At 43.1% G+C, this 20674-nt stretch overlaps 1 long non-coding RNA gene across 1 annotated transcript, besides 1 other annotated feature; it reads right to left on the reverse strand.

Moving 5' to 3' along the window:
* Positions 1–4178: 4178 nt before the first annotated feature.
* On the reverse strand, positions 4179–8197 carry LOC124907888 (uncharacterized). Its single transcript, XR_007087233.1, has 2 exons — positions 8134–8197; positions 4179–7410 (listed from the first exon to the last, which is right to left on the reverse strand). It is a non-coding gene; the product is annotated as an uncharacterized LOC124907888 (long non-coding RNA).
* Positions 16357–16556: an enhancer, noted in NCBI's record as "active region_16517". NCBI's record gives its function as "activates an Ori minimal core promoter by ATAC-STARR-seq in GM12878 lymphoblastoid cells {active_cell/tissue: GM12878}" and the evidence as "EXISTENCE:reporter gene assay evidence [ECO:0000049][PMID:35858748]".

The following is a 20674-nucleotide window of genomic DNA, read 5'->3' on the forward strand; positions in this document are numbered from 1 at the left end:
GTTCATATTGCATCCGTGGGTTCCCACACAACCCTGTAGAGCATCCAGACCCACTGCTGCCTCTTTCAGAGCCAGTGTAGACAAGGTCATCTTCAGAGCACTGAGCCTCAGTTTCCTCATCTGCTAAATGAAGGAAGTCTTTAAATGAGGTAGTGGATATGAAGATAAAAATGCCTGGCTCTGGGCCTCACAAATAGATGCTCAACAGATACTAGTTCCTTAGTAGATTTTAGTTTCCTTCCTGCATCCTTGATTTCTGCCTGGACTCTTCTACTTTAAGTGGGGCATTGTGCAGTTTATGGCCAAGAGCCCAGAATGTAGAACTTAGCACCTAGAACTTTGGTGCAGCAAGGCTGGGAGTCACACACCACCTCCCCAGCCCCAGCTTGTCCCCCACAGAGCAGGCCTGCATCTCTCCACCGACCTCGGAGCATTTCCTGGAATCTGCTCCCCAGCTTATTGTGATTTCTAAACATTTACTTTAATGCTTGGATTAATTTTTCTGGTATGTGTGTGTGCACAGGCCTGCAAGTATGTATGTGTACATGCAGGCATGTCTACTGCATGTTGATGCCCTGCCTCTGGAAAAAGTCTGGGGCACACACCATTGCACGTCAGGTAGGGGAGAATTGCCTGAAGGAGAGACGACCATTGCACCAGTGCAGGAGGACTTGGTGGCAGCCCTATTCCCTCTACTTGCTCCTGCTACGTATGAGTTCCCAGTACGTTTTAGCCAGCAGCCTGCTTTGCCGCCATCACTTGCTCCCTGTAGCCTGGGAAATGTTTGTGGCTAATTTTCAGCTGACCGGCAGACTCTGAAGAGGGTGGCCATGCTACTCAGTAGGAATACAGTCTCAAAAAGAGGGGGAGCAGGGCTGCCAGAGTGGGGTGAGGTCTTGCCAGACAAAGGAAAGAAAAGTGCACAGGAAGGAATCTGTGCAGCAGCTTTTCTTCAGGTAAGCCAGACTAATCCCTGAGATCTCAGGCTGAGGGACCAGCACTTTAGAAAACAAACTTGCAAGAGCTTAGTGATGGTTAATGTTGGCTTGTCCCACATTAGCTTGCTGAAGATGGGCATGTATATACCTCCTCTCATTGCCCACCCAGGACACCCCCAGACCTGGTCTCCCAGATTGCCTCTCTCCACCCCTCCAGTTTATAGTCTCCACCACCTCCTACTTGTGCCTGTTCCATTCTTGCAAGAGAAGTTTCTCAAAAGCCAGCTCTATAGCTACTCACTATTCATCACCAAATGTACTTCCCAAGAATAATAACTACACTTGTTGAGTGTGTTAGGCCATCCTTGCATTGCTATAAAGAAATACCTGGCTGGGTAAATTACAAAGAAAAGAGGTTTAATTGGCTCATGGATCTGCAGATGCAAGAAGCGTGGTACTGGCATCTGCTTCTGGTGAGGGCCTCAGTAAGCTTACAATCATGGTGGAGGGTGAAGGGGAAGCAGGTGTCTCACGTGGGAGAGTGGAAACAGGACAAAGAGATGGAGAGATGCCACACACTTTTAAAGAACCAGATCTCAGGAGAACTCACTTGCTATTGTGAGGACAGCACCACGCCATTCATGAGGGATCTCTCCTTGTGACCCAAACACCTCCCCCTAGGGCCCATCTCCAACACTGAGGATTCCATTTCAACATGAGATTTAGAGGGGACACACATCTAAACCATATCACTGAGACTCTACATTTTTATGTACCCAAGAATTCTCTCTGGTTACAGAGCCACACGGCATGTGATGGAAAGGACATAGGCTCTGACATCATAGACGTGCAGGTACCATCCCATCTGTCATTGCCAGCGGGAGAGATCTTGAACAAAATGCACAACTTCCTCATTGCTTATTTTCTTCTTCTCCAAGCCAAGGATTTAGATCAAGGTGAATAACCATAGGCACCAAGCTCCCCTCCTACATCCAATCACTGGAAATTATAAAATGTATTTTGCAAAGAGACTAACTACATGACATTGATGGGAAACCAAAGGATGTCATCAGTGATACAGATGTTTTGATGAATGCCTATGGGAGAGAAGATAGTTAGAGCCAGATTACGGAAGAAAACTATGCATAAGAAGGCCCTAGTGTATACTTCTGAGATCTGGAGCAAATGTGGAGAATGTCTAGGAGCCCTTTAGCTAGGAATTCAAACAACAGATACAAGAAAGAGGAGAGAGCCTGGGAGTGCCATTGTGGTGAGCAGGCGAGGAAAGTGTGAAAGAAGCACTTAGGGGGATGGGGAATAATCTCTTTTCCCAGCAATTCTTGCCAAGTGGTGACAAGTCAGTCATTTGGCCCCCAGCAGGCCCGTGAGTGTGGGGGCTCTATCTTAAGAGGCAGGAGCTTTCCTGGAAGGCTGGGGACACTGGCACATCCTACTTGGAAGCATACCCCATTGCTGCCTTCATCCTCACCCTTCAACACCCTCCATGATACTCTCCAAAGACAAGAGGGGAAAACTTACTAGACCACAAACAAATAAGACCTCAAGAGAAGTATGATTAATAACACTGGAGAGATCAGAGAAAATACTGCTTCCATGAAACAAGAACAGATACATATGAAAATAAATGATAAACTGATGGTTTTGGAAGTGAAAATTTAATAGATAGGATGAACAGTTGAATGGACACAGCCGAAGAGCATTGGAATGACCTGGAGACTCGGCATAAGAAGTTTTGGAGACCAAAGCACAAAAGGACAGAAGGATGAAATATAATTTAAAAAAATTTAAGAGCTAAGGAGGATGGATATAAATTTTCCAGTTGTAAAACATGGCTCAAAAAAAGAGCAAATGTTTTGTGACCTGTGCTCTGAGTGTGAAAGGGTGTGTAAAAAAGGTAAGCAGGAAGAAAAAACCCCACACTTGGAGACATCAGTGCGGAAATTCAAGCATGAAAAGAAAACCTTTAAAAAACATGAGAAAACTTAATCTCTAAAGGAATAAGAAATGAATTGAGGTATCCAACTTGTCCTTGGCAGTACTGGATTCAAGAAGATGTTGGAACAGTATCTCTAGAGTTTGAGCTGAGGACACTTATAACACTATCCTTGGCCAAACTCTCATTCAGCTGGAAGGACAAAACAAAAACAGTTTGACATGCAACTATGCGGAAAGTTTACCAGATTAAATTCTCTAGTAAAATGTGAAATGTATCCTGAGAAGACATGGCAATAAAGAAAGAATGGTAAGCAAAGAAGATATTAGAACTTAGAGTTCAGTATAAAAAATAGTTGATTGCAAAATAACTTCTCATATAGAATGAAAAGGAGTTGATTTTCTCTAGATATTAATAGAACAAAATGTACAGTGTTAAAAATTTGTGTGACTGCTAGAAAATAGAAATTGGGTGAATAAATTCTGAATCCCAAGAAAAGGAAAAATTTGACAAAGAAAATGGGTTTAATGGCTGGGCGCGGTGGCTCATGCCTGTAATCCCAGCAATTTGGGAGGCAGAGGTGGGCAGATTACCTGAGGTCAGGAGTAACCAGGAGTGACTAGACTGGCCAACATGGGGAAACCCCATCTCTACTAAAAATACAAAAATTAGTCAGACGTGGTAGCGAGCACTTGTAATTCCAGCTGCTTGAGAGGCTGAGGCAGGAGAACGGCTTGAACCCTGGAGGCAGAGGTTGCAGTGAGCGGAGATCATGCCACTGCATTCTGCATTCCAGACAGAGCAAGACTCTCAAAAAAAATAAATAAATAAAATGAAAGAAAGAAAGAAAGAGAAAGAAAGAAAAAAAGAAAGAGAGAAAATGGATTAAAGACAGGAATAAGAAATGGAAAAACAAGAAAAACTTGTTAAATAGAAAACATAAAATAAGATGACAAGGGCTGGGCACAGTGGCTCATGCCTGTAATCCCAGCACTTTGGGAGGCTGAGGTGGGTGGATCGCCTGAGGTCAGGAGTTCGAGAGCAGCCTGACTAAAATGGTGAAACCCCATCTCTACTAAAAATACAAAAATTAGCCGGGTGTAGTGGTGGGCGCCTGTAATCCCAGCTACTTGGGAGGCTGAGGCAGGAAAGTTGCTTGAATCTGGGAGGTGGAGTTTGCAGTGAGCAGGGATCGCGCCATTGCATTCCAGCCTGGGCGGCAGAATAAGTGAGACTGTCTCAAAAAAAAAAAAAAAAAAAAAAAAAGACAAGAATAAGCCCAAGCATACAGATGATCATTTTTAATGTGAATAAGGTAACTTCCCTATTAATGGATACATACTATCAGATTGAAGTTTGCAAACAGCATACCTTACACAAAGTAACATGGCAAAAGTTGGAAATAATAAATTAGAAAAACTGTAGCAGAGAAATATTAACAAAAATAAAGGTGACATAACAATATCAGAGGAAAAATAATTCAAATTCCTAAGCGTGAAGATCTCCCTACTCCCTCTGTGCTGGGTGGCAGCCAGGGATAGGACAGGGAGCCAGGTCAGCTGCCATGAGGTGAACAGACAGCAGCTTACAGAAGCCACTGAGACCTAGCCCCATCACCCGCTACCCCAGGGCATCCCAGGTAAAAGGGGTAATTTTACAAGAAGAAATAGGTGTCAGCAATTTATGCATTAAAAGCATAGCCTCGAGGTACATTCAGCAGAATGAGGTAGAAATACAAACTGTAAAGCTGTAATTACAAGGCATGACATTAATATATTTCACTCAGAAATGGACAAAAACATCAAAGACTGTTGAGGATTTAAAATAATACAGTAAGTTTTATCACACTTGTGTTTGTGTATTTGTGTAAACGGGATGTATATACATATATATTTTTTCAATAGATAATATATAGTATATCCTAAACCCACAGGCCAGTCACAAAATCGAACATGTCGTAAGACTGAACACTAAGAAAATCTCAATATTTTCCAAAAATCAAAATCCAATAGGTTATTTTCCTTTACCATAATTCAATAAAATTAAACATTAACTGCAGAAAATGTCTAAAACTATATCTACTCTTGTGTTAAGGAAGACATGAAAATTAAAATTACAAATCAAATTTAGAGTTCATCCCATATCACAATTCCTGGGATGTAACTAAAGAAGAACTTAGAGGAAAAGATGTTGCCTTAACTATATTTATTAGAAAATAAGAAATACTGAAAATACAGTGTACACTCAACAGAAAAACTTGAAAAGTGAATAAGAAATGAAACCAATTATAGTAGAAAAAATAAAGTAATATAAAACAGAAATTAATAACATGGAAACAAATAAAAATTCTAATGTTAATTAAAAACCAAAAAGCTGGTATGTTATTTTTTGTTGTTTAACTTTTAAGTTTGGGGGTACATGTGCAGGATGTGCAAGTTTGTTATAAAGGTAAGTGTGTGTCATGGGGGTTGCTTGTATAGATTATTTCGTCACCCAGGTATTAAGCCTAGTGCCCATTAGTTATTTTTCCTGATCCTCTCTCTCCTCCCAACCTCTACCCTCCAATAGGCCCCAGTGTATGTTGTTCCCCTCTTTGTGTTCATGTGTTCTCATCATTTAGCTCCCACTTATAAGTAAGAACGCATGATATCTGGTTTTCTGTTCCTGCATTAGTTTGCTAAGGATAATGGCCTCCAGGTCCATCTATGTCCCTGCAAAGGACATGTTCTCATTCGGTTTTATGGCTGCATAGTATTCCATGGTGTATATGTACCACATTTTCTTTATCTAGTCTATCATTGATGGACATTTGGGTTGATTTCGTGTCTTTGCTCTTGTGAATAGTGCTGCAATGAACATACGCATGCATGTGTCTTTATGACAGAATGATTTATATTCCTTTGGGTATATACCCAGTAATGGGATTGCAGGTTTCAATGGTATTTCTGTCTTTAGGTCTTTGAGGAATCAGCATACTACCTTCCACAATGGTTGAACTAATTTCCACTACCATTGACAGCATATAAGCATTCCTTTTTCTCCACAACCTTGTCAGCATCTGCTACTTTTTGACTTTTTAATAATACGTTTTTGACATTTTAATAATAAGCCATTCTGACTGGCATGAGATGGTATCTCATTGTGGTTTTGATTTGCATTTCTCTAATTATCAGTGATGTTGAGCTTTTTTTCATATGCTTGTTGGCCGCTTGTCTGTTCATATCCTTTGCTTGCTTTTTAATGGGGTTGTTTTTTTCTTGTAAATTTGTTTAAGTTCCTTATAGATGCTGGATATTAGACCTTTGTCAGATGTATAGTTTGCAAAAATTTTCTCCCATTCTGTAGGTTTTCTGTTTACTCTGTCAATAGTTTATTTTGCTGTGCAGAAGCTCTTTAGTTTAATTAGATCCTATTTGTCAACTTTTGTTTTTGTTGCAATTGCTTTTGGCACCTTTGTCATGAAATCTTGGCCTGTGCTGATGTCCTGAATGATATTGCGTAGGTTGTCTTCCAGGATTTTTAAGTATTTAATCCATCTTGAGTTAATGTTTGTATATGGTGTAAGGAAGGGGTCAAGTTTCAATCTTCTGCATATGGCTAGCCAGTCATCCCAGCATCATTTATTGAATAGGGCATCCTTTCCCCATTGCTTGTTTTTGTCAGGTTTGTCGAAGATCAGATAGTTGTAGGTGTGCGGTCTTATTTATAGGTTTTCTATTCTGTTCCATTGGTTCACGTATCTGTTCTTGTGCCAGTACCATGCTGTTTTGTTTACTCTAGCCCTGTAGCATATTTTGAAGTTAGGAAGTGTGATGCCTCCAGCTTTGTTCTTTTTGCTTAGGATTATCTTGGCTATTCAGGCTCTTTTTTCTGTTCATGTGAATTTTAAAATAATTTTTTCTAGTTCTGTGAAGAATGTCAATGGTAGTTTCTTGGGAATAGCATTGAATCTATAAATTGCTTTGGGCAGTGTAGCCATTTTCACAATATTGGTTCTTCTTATCCACGAGCATGGAATACTTTTCCATTTGTTTGTGTTGTCTCTGATTTCTTTGAGCAGTGTTTTGCAGTTCTCCTTGTAGAGATCTTTCACTTCCCTTGTTAGCTGTATTCGTAGGTATTTTATTCTTTGTGTGGCAATTGTGAATTGGAATTTTTTCACGATTTGGCTCTCAGCTTCCCTGTTGTTGATGTGTAGGAGTGCTAGTGAATTTTGCGCATTGATTTTGTATCCTGAGACTTTGCTAAAGTTGCTTATCAGCTTAAGAAGCCTTTAGGCTGAGAGGATAGAGTTTTCTAGATATAGGATCATGTCATCTGCAAACAGGGATAGTTTGACTTCCTCTCTTCCTTTTTGAATGCCGTTTATTTCTTTCTGTTGCCTGATTGCTCTGGCCAGAACTTCCAATACTATGCTGAATAGGAGTGGTGAGAGAGGGCATCCTTGTCTTGTGCAGGTTTTGAAGGGAATGCTTCCAAAAGCTGATATTTTGACAATAATAGTTCAACTTCTTGGTTCTGATGAAAACAAAAAGAAATTCTAAGGACTAATAATCTTCTTTATAAATGAGATAAGTGGCAGACTATAGATACAGGGGAGATTTAAAAACTTTCAAACATGTAAATCTTTATAGATTTACTTGAAAATAATATAATAGATAAACAGTTTTCCAGGAATATGAAATGACCAAAATTGAATTTAGCAACAATAGAAAACCCATCTATGAAATTTTCAAAGCAGTAAAAAAATGTATCCTTAAAAAAGCCAACATGTCTAGACAGTTTTATAGGGTATTTTAAAAAACCAAATCTATAAAAAGACAAACTGTATATTAATAAAAAGTCCCAGAGCATACAGCATAGAAAATGATGGAGAAGCTGCTCAATTTATTCCATGAAGCTGGAAAAACTCCTCCAATGAGGACAGGAAAAAAACCCACCACTTTAGAACATAGAGGCAAAAGTCTCCAATAACATATTGACAAGTTAGATCTGGCAGTGCATCCAGAGTGTATGTCACAACCAGGAAATAAATACCATGATATGTAATGTGTGGTATTTATTAAAGTCCCTGGCACAAAGTAAGTAATCAAGTCAGGTATTAGCATTCTAATCCTGAATAGATGGTTTTATATTGATGATAATTTTTAGATAAGTCACCATATTAACTATTAATTGAGAAACAAGATATATGATCACCTACATATTTGGCTGAAATATGCATTTATTAGGGGAACTTACAGACAGCTTCAGCGTCCCTGGGATGGATAGAAAGAAAAGAGAAGTTCATCCTGGGTATGTCCATAGCAAGGGTGAGGTTGTGGAGTCTATAAGAGGGCTTAAGGCATTTGGCTCAGGGCCAGGGCTAGTTTCTACATGTATAATAGCAACAGGGTTAGCCTCAGTGTTTTTGAGCACGGACCTCAACAGTTTTATCAGTGTCTGGGAATGTTCAAGGTCCCGGCTTGGGTGAAGCCTGCGGGGAAAACATGCAGCTGCCAGGGTCACAGAGCGGTCAAGGCACTCTGTGTTTCTCAGTCAGGACAGAGAAAAAGTGGGGAAACTGGGGGAGGCTACAGCTACCTTCAGTGCTATGACAGTATTATTAAGGACAGGAGGTGGGCAAGAATTCCCACTATCAACATTACACCAGATGTAGCTAAAGAACAGATCAAGACTTAAAAAGACAAATTACAGTGTTGGAAAGGGAAAACCACATTTGCAACATGTATGTACTGAGAAGATCCAAGGAAACAAACCTAAAAATGTGGTAATCAGACAAATATAAATGAACACACAAGAATCGAATACTTTCCTGTAAATCAGGATTGCCCAATTAGAAAATGGGAACGACAAATATGACATGCATTCAGCAACCCAAAACATAAAAAATTGAAGTACAAACTTTATAAGAAATATGCAAGATGTGTAACAAGAAAATTAAAAATTATAAAACACAAATGAATATCATTAAAAGAGACCTAAATAAATAAATATCATGTGTCTGAATGGAAAATTCAGTATTTAAAGATGTAAACTCTCTTCCTATGAACTTACAGAACATCTCAACAAAATCTCTATTGGATTTTTAATGGAAATCCAAATGGAAGAGAAAATGCGCAAGAATAACCAAGCAAACATTTGACATAAAAGATCAACAAATAGTAAAAGGTATACCATTAAGCCAATGACTTATTGAAAACTTATGGTACATGCACAGGGCTCAACCAACAGATTAACTCAACAGAATAGTAAATTTTACAGTAAACTTAAGGATTTGTGGTAATTTATACCTGTATCTGTGTTTCTCAAATCCATGGGGAAATATAGCATTCTCATAAGCAGTGTTGGAAAAATTGACTACACATTTGGAAAAATGAAATGAGATATCTAACTCTTGCTCTGCAATAAATAAATCAGCTGCATTAAACAGCCACATTTTTAAAAACATAAGCATTAGGAGAAAATTTAAGACAATATATAAAACTATTTTGGGGGGAGCGTATATAATCCAGACACTTTTTATAAAACATTTATAGATAATTTGACCAAAAACTAAAAATAACTTCTAGAAGAGAAAAATACCACTAATAAATTAAATGACAAATAACCAACTTTTGGAAAACAATATTCAGGAAGTTAGGGGCTACTTACTATCCATCTTTCTATATAAAGAGCTTCTAAAAGTCAGTAAAGAAAATGAAAATAATTTAAAAGAAAAATGGGCAAAGGATGCCAGTGGAGAATTCACAGATTCAGAATCTGTGTGTGAAAAGATGCTCAACTTCAAAGGGAATGTAAATTTTAGCCATAATACTGTATTTTGTTTTGTCTCTCTGGTTTGCAAAAATGAAAAAGACTGATAATACCCACTGCTGGCAAGCATGTGGAGAAACAGGCCTTCTCATCTGCGGTGTGAGAGAGGGCAGCTTGGTGAACATCAAGCTTCTTGAATACAAGTTGCCAATCTGTTCAACTGTAAAATGCACATACTCTTGAAGAAATTTTACTTCTAGGGCTTTAGACTTAAATTAAAAAAAATCTTGTTATATGCACATTAGGATGTCTACATGAGATGTTAAGGAGGCTCATTCTAGACTTTTTTATAAAGAGAAAATTTGAAGCAGTATCAACGTACATCTACTCTGGAGTGCGGTGCAGCCATTACGCAGAATGAGGTAGACCATGCGGCTGACAAGAAAAGAGTATTTCCAAAATGGTGGTGCGTAAAGCAAAGAAAAGTATATGTAGTATGGTTCTGATGTTTAACTTGTAAAGATGACATTTACAATGATGCATGTTTATACAAGTAGGGGTGTGTGTGTGTGTGTGTGTGTGTGTGTATGCACAGAAAAGTGCCTGGGAGTGGCATCCTCCCGGCTGACAGTGGTGAGTCCAGATGCGGGCAGGGGGAGCCGCTGCTGATGCGCGAGTTGTCTGAAGCCCTTCGGGGAGAATGCATCTGCTCAGGCTGCTGCGAGCTTGCCTAAGTGAACTTTCCAGAGCTTCAGTCCCAGAGCCGTTGTCATTGCAGAAGTTCTTCTTGCGGTTAGAGTTCCAAATGCTCACATTATTAAGCCACCATCCTCAGTCCATTGGCCTTGGTCTCTAACCCATCATCTTGGAAAGCCCTCAACCCAGCAGCCGGGAGTTCAGCTCTAGGAATGGAGAGGATGGGGCACGGAGGGAAATCCCCTATCAGAATGAGGCAGAGCTCTGGCAGCACAATGGTAACTCACTGATGTTGGACCCTCATTTTCACTGGGAAAGACCCCAGAGGGTGGGGAATTCAGATGCTGCAGGTCTCCCAGCTCTGTATCTTTTAGTAGGGAAAGTCATTAATATGTGTAATCTGTTCAACCGTGTTGTAGTAATTATGTCTCCAGCCAGTACCCAATGTGACAAGATTAGCAGAGAGCACGGTTATTCATCAGTGAGTTGTCACAGCCTAATTGTCCTTTAAATGCATCAGAATGCAGTGGAGGTTGAAGAATGCGGGGAGAGATCTCCGTAGCTTCCCTGAGAACCAGCACAGGTAGACGCTGACAAAATGAAATACAGTTTCCGAGCAAACAGTGGATCCCAAATAAGGGTGTATCAGCACACATTGCCCTTCCCAGTTTTGCTGTGTTCTTCCTTGCACCCCTGACATCTACTTAATATTCACAGGGGCTGTCATCAATGAGGGCTACCCCTATACCAGACAGCTTAGGAACAGCATCTTTGAGCTGTGCAGTAACTGTGAAGTGGCTACTGCATGATGCCCATTTTACAGATGAGGAAACCGAGGGTCACAGGAGTTAGGTGAACATCCAAGATTCTGTGGCAAATAATTAGAAAAACTGAGAATGAAACTCAGTCTAAAGCTCTCTCTCTCTCTGTGTGTCTCTCTGTGTATGTGTGTGTGCTGGAGAAGTTGCTGAACATGCCCCGTGTCTGGAATTCTCTCCAGCTTATGCGTGTTTGCTGTCAGAACTCTTGAGAGAGGCTACCCTTGACTACTGCAGCCCAAAGGAATTACCTCTACTGCCTTAATTCTCCCAGTTGATTAGAATTCACTCCCGCACCCAGCCTCCCATTGGTTTGCTGACACATGGGTTCAAAGCGGCCTTCAAGCTAGTGGGGACAGAAGGCACAGTGCTGTCCCTTGGAATGGTAGTCCCAGCTGGAGCCCTGCACCCGCTCCCCTCCAAGCCGTCTGATGCATGCTGGCTTCACAACCAGCCTTTGAGAGAGCCTCATCTGCATGACGGTTGTCCTGGCTTCTTTTATTTGAAGCCAAAATCTTCCTGGAATCTTTTGATCCTTTACCTGAGCTGGGGGTCACTGCTTGCGGAAATGAATCTCAAATTTATCTTCCTGAACTAGAGAAATTGGTAACTTCTTGCTAAACTTTCTCCCTCCTTGAGTAAATGGGTTAGGGAGTTGTTGGGGTCCCCTCTCAATATTAAGGGAGCTGGGCTGGGCGCAGCAGCTCACACCTGTAATCTCAGCACTTTGGCAGCCTGAGGCAGGCTGATCACCTGAGGTCAGGAGTTCTGGAGACCAGCCTGACCAACATGGTGAAACCCCGTCTCTACTAAAAATACAAAATCAGCCAGGTGTGGTGGTGGGCGCCTGTAATCCCAGCTACTTGGGAGGCTGAGGCAGGAGAAACGCTTGAACTCAGGAGGCAGAGGTTGCAGTGAGCTGAGATCCCCATTGCACTCCAGCCTGGGCGACAAGAGTGAGACTCCATCTCAAAAAAGAAAAAAAAAAATAGTAAGGGGGCTTCCTGGAAGGAAGGTTTATGAGCTAAAACTGACTGACTTTGTGATTTCAATGACACAAGTACACAGAATCAACCAGCTCCCCAGCCCTCCTGGTTGTGTGGTTTTCACCACGTGACTTTTGCAGCTCCCCAAACTGAGTAGGCAGAGTCGGTTCTCCCACGTGGCTCTGAATTGAACCCTCTTGGCTTCTTTGGTCAGTGGACACAGTAGAGGCCTGAGAAAGCCTGAGCTGGTTAGTTTCCTTGTCCTGCTGCTGCCACCTCTGCCTGTGCACATGCCTGGGAGGGTGCCTGGCTGCCTAGGGGCAGTGATTACTCCAGCCAGGCCACTAAGTCCACCTAGAGCCAGCCCTGGGCCGGGGCCCATGCCCCGCCTGACTACTCCACACACCCCAGGAAGAAATGCCTGCTGAGGGCTTGGTAATTGTTAGGCAGTATGATTCTGGAAATCACTGATTCATCAGCTTTCAAGGGCATTTGCTTGGAGGTCAAGAGTTGAACTTGAGCTCCAGCTTTTTTTTGGCTACTGACCTCTGGTCATGCCATCGCGGCCTCAGGACTCTGAGTTCCGTCCTCTGGGAGGCATCCCAGGGTGGGCCTAGAGGAGTTCATCAGCAGCTCTCAAGAGCAGGCTTTGTCGCTTGTGAGAAGGGAATCACAACCGTGAGAGTGGACCCAAGAGGGGAAGGTTCCCTCACCCCCCAGAACCCAAATCGCAATGTTAAAATACATCATCTGGCTTTTAAGTCTTTATTTCTTTATTCTTTTTTCTCAAATTGCATTGATTTGGTAAAAATGAAGCCTGTTCATGACAAGAAATGGAAATAATGCAGAAAGAGAGAGAGGGAAAAAATATACATGTTTTGAACTAACCTGGATTCAGCTGCTCTCCAATAACCACCCCTGCCCCAGGGGCCCTCACCTCAGCCATATAGACTACAAAAGGGTGCAAGCAGGGCTGAACAAAGAAATTCCCTTCAATAAAAAGGGGATTTGTGATACCTCCTATTTTCAATATAAAAGTATTTTATTACATTTTACTTCAATTTAAGAGAAGAAAATGAAGTGGTATTTAAATGAAAAGAATTGCTGATCTTCAAATAAATGTTGCTTTGCCACAAAAGATATTATTTTGTAAAAGAGCCCCTGCAAGGCTAACAAGATATGAAAAACACGAAGAAGTTGGAGCCTTCATGTTTTTAACTCACGTCTCAATTTCAGAAGGTCTTAATTATACTCGATTATAAAAGATGAGGAAATCAGCATTCTTAAACTTTCTCTTACTACTTCTCTTGATTTTTCTTGGTGATATATATAATACTGACTTTTCCAAGGTTAGGAGCATTTGCATTCTATTTTGTAACAATTATTCCCACTGGTTTTATCTTTTTTCTATATTTAAGTGGATTTGATACTCATGAGTCTTTTTTTATAACAGCTTTTACTCTCCTGGCAGGGTTTTTATTTTACTTTTTTTGTTTGCTTGGCTGCATTTCATCCCCAAGTCATTCTCCCTCTCCCCTCTCCCCTCTAAAGGTCCCGTAGACGTATTCCCGAGTTCCCGCCAGCCGTGACAGTCTGCCACCTATATAATCAAGGGGAAACTTGGCTGAGTAAACAGTTTTTTTTTCTTTTTCTTAGAACTTTTAAATCCACACTCCACTGTCCTTTTTTTTTCCTGCATTTTAAAAATGTTTTTCTTTATTGTGGTGAGACATGCATAACATAAAATGTAGGGTTTTAACCATTTGTCCCCTAGTTTAAATGTTGCCCCGGGCCTACCCTTTCCCTGTTCATATTAGTGGGTTGGCATTTTTTTTTTCTAAATGTCTCATGGTTGCAGCCTACTTTTTGGTATGTTTATCTGGGTATTTTTTTTTTTTTTTTTTTTTTTTTTGGGATGGAGTCTCAATCTGTCACCCAGGCTGGAGTGCAATGGCATGATCTCGGCTCACTGCAACCTCTGCCTCCCGGGTTCAAGCGATTCTTTTGCCTCAGCCTCCCGGGTAGCTGGGACTACAGGCGTGCGGTGCCACGCCTGGCTAATTTTTGTATTTTTAATAAAGACGGGGTTTCACCATGTTGGCCAGGCTGGTCTCAAACTCCTGACCTCGTGATCCATCCACCTCGGCCTCCCAAAGTGCTGGGATTACAGGGTGAGCCACCGCACCTGGCCTTATGTGTGACTGTTATTTCTGAACCCAGCTGGCTGGGTTCTTGAGTAAGACTTTCTGGCCCTCTGAATTTTCCCTCAATGTCATTGCTATTGCCCTCCGTCACTGCTCCAGAGCGGTGGGAGACGAAAGCACTGAGCCCAGGTGATCCACCCCTGCCCAGTCATTTCTTGGCCTGGCTTGACTAGCTGAATGCTTGAAGCACTCTTTGCTTATCCTTCCTGTTCATTACGTTAACCAGGAAACTTCCCATGGCCGTGGTTCTGTATTAACATTTTCTGAACAGCGTGCTCCTTTTGGATTGCTTTCAGTTCCTGTGTCTTTGTTAATGAAAATAATCGTGTATTTGCAAAGACATCCTGTCGCCTTCTGTGGGGTTTCCATGTTAGGGACATGTGTGTGTCAGGTCACGGCTCCCCGGGTCTGTTCTGCATTTCTGTTGTCCTTTCTCTGACTGCTGTCCTCTCTGGGTCCTTTCTCAGGCATTCACCGCCGCCATCTCCATCTCAAGCCTGTCTGCCTCTGTGTCAGGAACTCACTGGACATTTTGTCCCCTGTTGTTTTTGTTAATCTACTAGTTCTGTTAGGAATGTTGCTTTAGCACTCGATGTTTCTAAAGGTTCTCTTTTAAAGCTGTTCTCTCAATTTTAGTCTCATTCACGTTTCTATCCAGCCTTCCTCTGGAGTGAGGGACTCACAGAGTCACACTCTTCTCCAGGCCTTTGTGTGCCATGCGCCCCCCTCCTTTGCGTATTTTCCCTGGAATATGCGTGTCTCATCCCTGCGCAGTTGCTGTATCTCTCTCTCACCCTTAACTTCCCTTGCTCAAATATCATTGGGTGAATTTTCCTTGACAGCCTCCCTGCCCCGTTTGACATGATTGCCTTCCTCCGGGGCTCAGTTCCAGGCCTGCCTATTGTGTTTTATGCATCGGTGTTCTCCTTCCGTCTTGGAAGGAGTGGGAAGGAGAACATCCTCGGGATATCCAGTGGGAGGCCCTCAACCTGCTGGAGCCCAGATTTCTTCCTGTCTCTCCCAGAGCCAGAGGAAGCCAGCTGGGCTTCCTTCCTGTCTCTCAGGTTGATCTTTCTATTTTCCAGGGTGGCCCATTTACCTTGTAGTCACCACATTTGGGGGCATTGAGAGAATGCTTAGAACTTTTTTTTTTTTAACCTCCTTTGCCAGCTTGACCTCTGGTTGGTGGAGAAGAGTAAGCGCCATGCTGAGCTAGAATACTCTGATTTTTTTAACTTGGCCTCCTTGTCTGCAGCTCTAGGATGCAGTCCCTTTTCCCTTGCTTGGAGGCAGTTGGGAAGGTTTTTGCTGACTTTTGTCCTCATCTGTTGGAGAGAAGATTTGTGATCCAGCGTCACTCTCCTCGTATCATTATCCCATTTCATTTAACATCAAAGCCCTCACTAGTCAGAACTGGGCCGCACGCGTGTATATTTAGAAGTGCCTGACATCCTTCCAGGGCTGCATTCTCCTGCATTATCATATCAATTGGAGCCCTGCTCCTGTGCAGGTGAGGTGGGGCTGGGGGTTATCTTGCAAGATCAGAGACATAAGAACTTTATTTTGTGCTATATATAAAATCTCAGTTAGGAAATTAAATTCTGCACGGGGGAAAGATGTCAAGGTTGCTTTGATCACATGGAAAAGCAGCAGAGGCGCAGCAAGAGAGAGATAACCAAAGGAGGAAGCTTGCAGGCGCCTCCTCCCAGGCCAGCTGCAGGATGTGGGCAGGAGAGTCTGGGCTCTCAGTCCCGGTGGAGACAGGCCCTGTGTGCAGTGAGTGCTGCAGGAGATGGTCTGCTTACAAGCATGTGCTTCCTGTCATCAGTGCAAGCTGTTAAGTGTGAGAAAAAATGACCGGCAGTGAAGCAGAAACTCACTAAAAGTATTAATAGCCGGTGGCTGTCACCACTTGCTTGCTGTCCTTTACACCAACACTCCCCTAGCCCTCTCCCAAATGCCCAGGCTCATTTACTCCACTATGCAGGACCCCACAGGATGCTGCGGTGTGTTCCGCTTCTCCTCTGGTCTGAACTGTACCTGCACACAGGGCAAGTCCCAAGGGAACCAGAAGCCACCTGGAACAGGAAGCAAATAATAGCACCATCACCACCACCAGGATAGCTGACATCAATTACTGATTGTCTACTAGGAGTCAAGAACTGTGTTATTGTTTTACAGACATTATTTCCTATAAGTTGATCTCATAGTACAGATACAGAAATGGAAGAAAAAAAGATGTTAGGCTATGTATACACATCATATGGCTAGAAAATGCCAGAGAACTTTTTCCTAAGTTTGTTTCTGAAATGCAACATATATTAACTTTTTCCATCTCTTCACCTGACCCCCAAAGATAAAAAGACCTAGAAATCAATCCCACAGTCAGTCTGGGTGGAGTCCGTTTCCCTGTGACGGGAAAGCATATTAACGGGAAAGCATATTAAAGCTGAGGTCCTGCAATTCAACCCACATCCCTGACCCTCGGCCCTGGAGACTCTGGGGGGCAGTGAGCTGTGCACCCCAAAGAGACAGAGCTCCGGAGGCCGAGGCGGGCGGATCACGAGGTCAAGAGATCGAGACCATCCTGGCTAACACGGTGAAACCCCGTGTCTACTAAAAAATACAAAAAAAATTAGCCGGGCGTGGTGGCGGGCGCCTGTAATCCCAGCTACTGAGGAGGCTGAGGCAGGAGAATGGCGGGAACCCGGGAGGCGGAGCTTGCAGTGAGCCGAGATTGCTCCACTGCACTCCAGCCTGGGCGACAGAGAGAGACTCCGTCTCAAAAAAAAAAAAAAAAAGGAGACAGAGCTCCTCTGCTTCCAGCAAACCTCCCTTTTTCTCTCCAAAAATACACATGCATGCCTTTTTTCCTGCTTCCACTGCTGACTTAGTCATTTATTCATTCGGTCAATATTAACCGAGAGTCAAAAAGTCCCAGCCGCGCTCAGGATGCAGCAGAGAGAAAAGCGAAGACCCCTGCCCTCATGGAGCACGCCCTCTAGTGGGGAGAGACGGAAAACAACAAAGATAAATAAGGAGTATTCCAGGATTTATCATGGTTAAGTCTCAAGCAGAAAAATCAAGCAGGAAAATGGAAAAAGAGACTTCACATTGGCCTCTTGTCTGTCCTCACCCGGCAGCTTTCCCAGTGTCGAGGACCCCTCTGAAAACTTTTTTTCGGAACTGGCTGTTTAGGTTTCATATATACCCTGCTAGTGCCAGAAGATTTTAACCATCTCCGGGGCTGTGCCTTGTGTCGATTATGCATGACCATGGATAATCCAACAGCTCTGTGCCCCGGTAGGAGCTCCCTGGAAGAGTGTTGGCTGATGGTGTGACAGCAACTGTAACTCTGCATAAAAGTTGCAGGGGCTCCTTGCCTACGGAGGACGCATGGATGCCCCATCCTGTGGGCTGTGGGGAGAGAAGAGCAGGGACAGGAGAACTAGCATGTCCCACGGGACCACCTGCCAGGCAGTGGCGGTGGACGTGTTTTCTGAGACAAGCCTCACTCCCGTGGTTAAATAGGGGCTATCTACATTTTCAGAAACTCATAGACGTGAGGAGGTGCACCTGCCCGAGGTTCTAAAACTATGGAGCTGAAGACCTGAGATCCAAAGTCCAGCCTGCCTGATGTCATTCTTTGAGGCTCGAAAACAAAGTGAGTCATCTCTGAAATCAAATTACTTGAATTTGAGCAAATCTTATATATTAAAACTTGTGGCAATCACTGCATGATTTATTATAGGACTAGTAAATGAACCACAGCAACACCAAAAATAGAGATGAAAAAAGGGGCAAAAGAGTCATGCAGAAGATGGTTGGATACATTGAGATCTGGCATTGAGCTCCAATTATGCTGAACTGACAGCTGGGAGGTGTCCAGGCTGTCAGATGTGTTCTCTCCCACTCTCTAGTGTACAGCTGGGGCCCATGTGTGACACTTAGCAGGAGGCCCTTTTTCCAGTCCCTTCACAGAGATGGAATGACGCTGTCAGGAGGGCTGGGCAGCTGCTAGCACTGGATGGAGAGAGAAACGAGGAGAAACTTCCAGTTTATGGTGTGTGGGTGTGGTGTGGATGGGGCAGGTGCAGACCAATCTTTCTGAAAAACACTTGGTGATACATACGAAGAGCTTTAAAAAACTATCTTTTGGCCAGGTGCGGTGGCTCATGCTTATAGTCCCAGCACTTGGAAGGCTGAGGCTAGCAGATCACCTGAGGACAGGAGTTCAAGACCACCCTGGCCAACATCATGAAACCCCGTCCCTACTAAAAAAATACAAAAATTAGCCGGGCATGGTGGCACGCGCCTGTAATCCCAGCTACTCAGGAGGCTGAGGCAGGGAGAATTGCTCCAACCTGGGAGACAGAAGTTGCAGCGAGCCGAGATCGCGCCACTGCACTCCAGCCTGGGCAACAGAGTGAGACTCCATCTTAAAACAAAAACAAAAACAAAAAACAGCTGCCTTTTGATTGAGTAATTACTTTGGTAGGAATTTATCCTTAAGCTGTAATGAGGAATATGGATATTACATAAAGGAGTTTCTTGAAGCAGTATGAAGAATAGAAAAAGAATGGAAACAAACAGCCTGCCCATTGTTCAGGGATGGCGAGACACAACCACAAGTAGTGGATGATGCAGACATAAAAATGATGTGCATAAGGAATTTTTAATTTTGGGAAAATGCTTATAATATGCTGTGAAGTGAAAAAAAGAGGAGGACATGCAATTGAGTCACCTTCTCAGCAAAGCTTTCCCCCACCTCCCAGGCAAAGACATAGTCCCTTGCTCTTCTCTGTTAGTGCATATCACAATTGCAATTAATTCTACTGAATTAATTATGTGCACAAGCATCCATCTCAAATCTGTCTTGCATTAGAACGAACGCCTCAGGAGGATAGCCATCAAGTCTACTGTGTTCAGCGATTAATCCCCAGGACCAAGAACAGCACCTGGCACACGGAAGTCACTCAATAAACATATGAGGCAATAACATGGACCCAGGCAATATGCGGCTCTTTGTGCCTGGCTTCTTGCATTTAGCATAGTGCTTTCATGGTTCACCCATGTCATGTATCGGTACCTCCCTTCTCATTGCTAGATAATATTCCATTGCATGGAGATACCACATTTTGTAAAATCCATTCACTTGTTGATGGGCATTTGGGTTGCTTCCACTTTTTGGCTAGGATGAATAACGCTGCTATGAATATTTGTGTGTAAGTTTTTTGTGTGGACGTATGTTTTCATTTCTCTTGGACATATACCTAGGAGTAGAATTGCTGGGTCATATCACAACTCTCTGTTTAACTGAAGAATTGACAAACTGTTTTTAAAAGTGGTGTCACCATGTTGCATTTTCACCAGCAGTGAATGAGGGTTCAGATTTATCCACATCCACACCAGCACTTGTTCGTCTTTTTGACTTTAGCCATCCTAGTGAGTGCAAAGTGGTATCTCACTGTGCTTTTGATTTGTATTTCCACGATGAGTAATGATGCAGGACCTCTTTTCATGTGATTGTTGACAATTTGCATATCTTTTTTTTTTTCTTTTTTTGAGACAGAGTCTTGCTCTGTTACCCAGGCTGGAGTACAGTGGTCAGGATCTTGGCTCACTGCAACCTCCACCTCCTGGGTTCAAGTGATTGTCATGCCTCACCCTCCCCAGTAGCTGGGACTACAGGCACATACCACGACGCCTGGCTAATTTTTTTTTTTTGAGACAGAGTTTCGCTCCTGTTGCCCAGGCTGCGGTGCAATGGTGTGATTTCGGCTCACCACAACCTCCATCTCCTGGGTTCAAGTGATTCTCCTGCATCAGCCTCCTGAGCAGCTGGGATTATAGGCATGTACCTATAGCTACGCCTGGCGAATTTTGTATTTTTAGTAGAGACGGGATTTCTCCATTGTTGGTCAGGGTGGTCTTGAACTCCCAACCTCTCAGGTGATCTGCCTGCCTCACTCTCCCAGAGTGCTGGGATTACAGGCATGCGCCTATAGCCACACCTGGCTAATTTTGAAGTTTTAGTAGAGACGGGGTTTCTCCATTGTTGGTCAGGGTGGTCTTGAACTCCCGACCTCTCAGGTGATCTGCCTGCCTCACTCTCCCAGAGTGCTGGGATTACAGGCATGAGACACCATGCATGGCCAATTTTTTGTGTTTTTAGTAGAGACGGGGTTTTACCATATTGGTCAGGCTGGTCTCGAACTCCTGAGTTCAGGCAATCTGCCAGCCTCAGCCTCCCAAAGTGCTGGGATTACAGGCATGAGCCACTGCGTCAGGCCTCATTTGCATATCTTCTTTAGAGAACTAT

Source organism: Homo sapiens, chromosome 2 (assembly GCF_000001405.40).
Source record: "Homo sapiens chromosome 2, GRCh38.p14 Primary Assembly".
NCBI classification, from domain to species: Eukaryota; Metazoa; Chordata; class Mammalia; order Primates; family Hominidae; genus Homo; species Homo sapiens.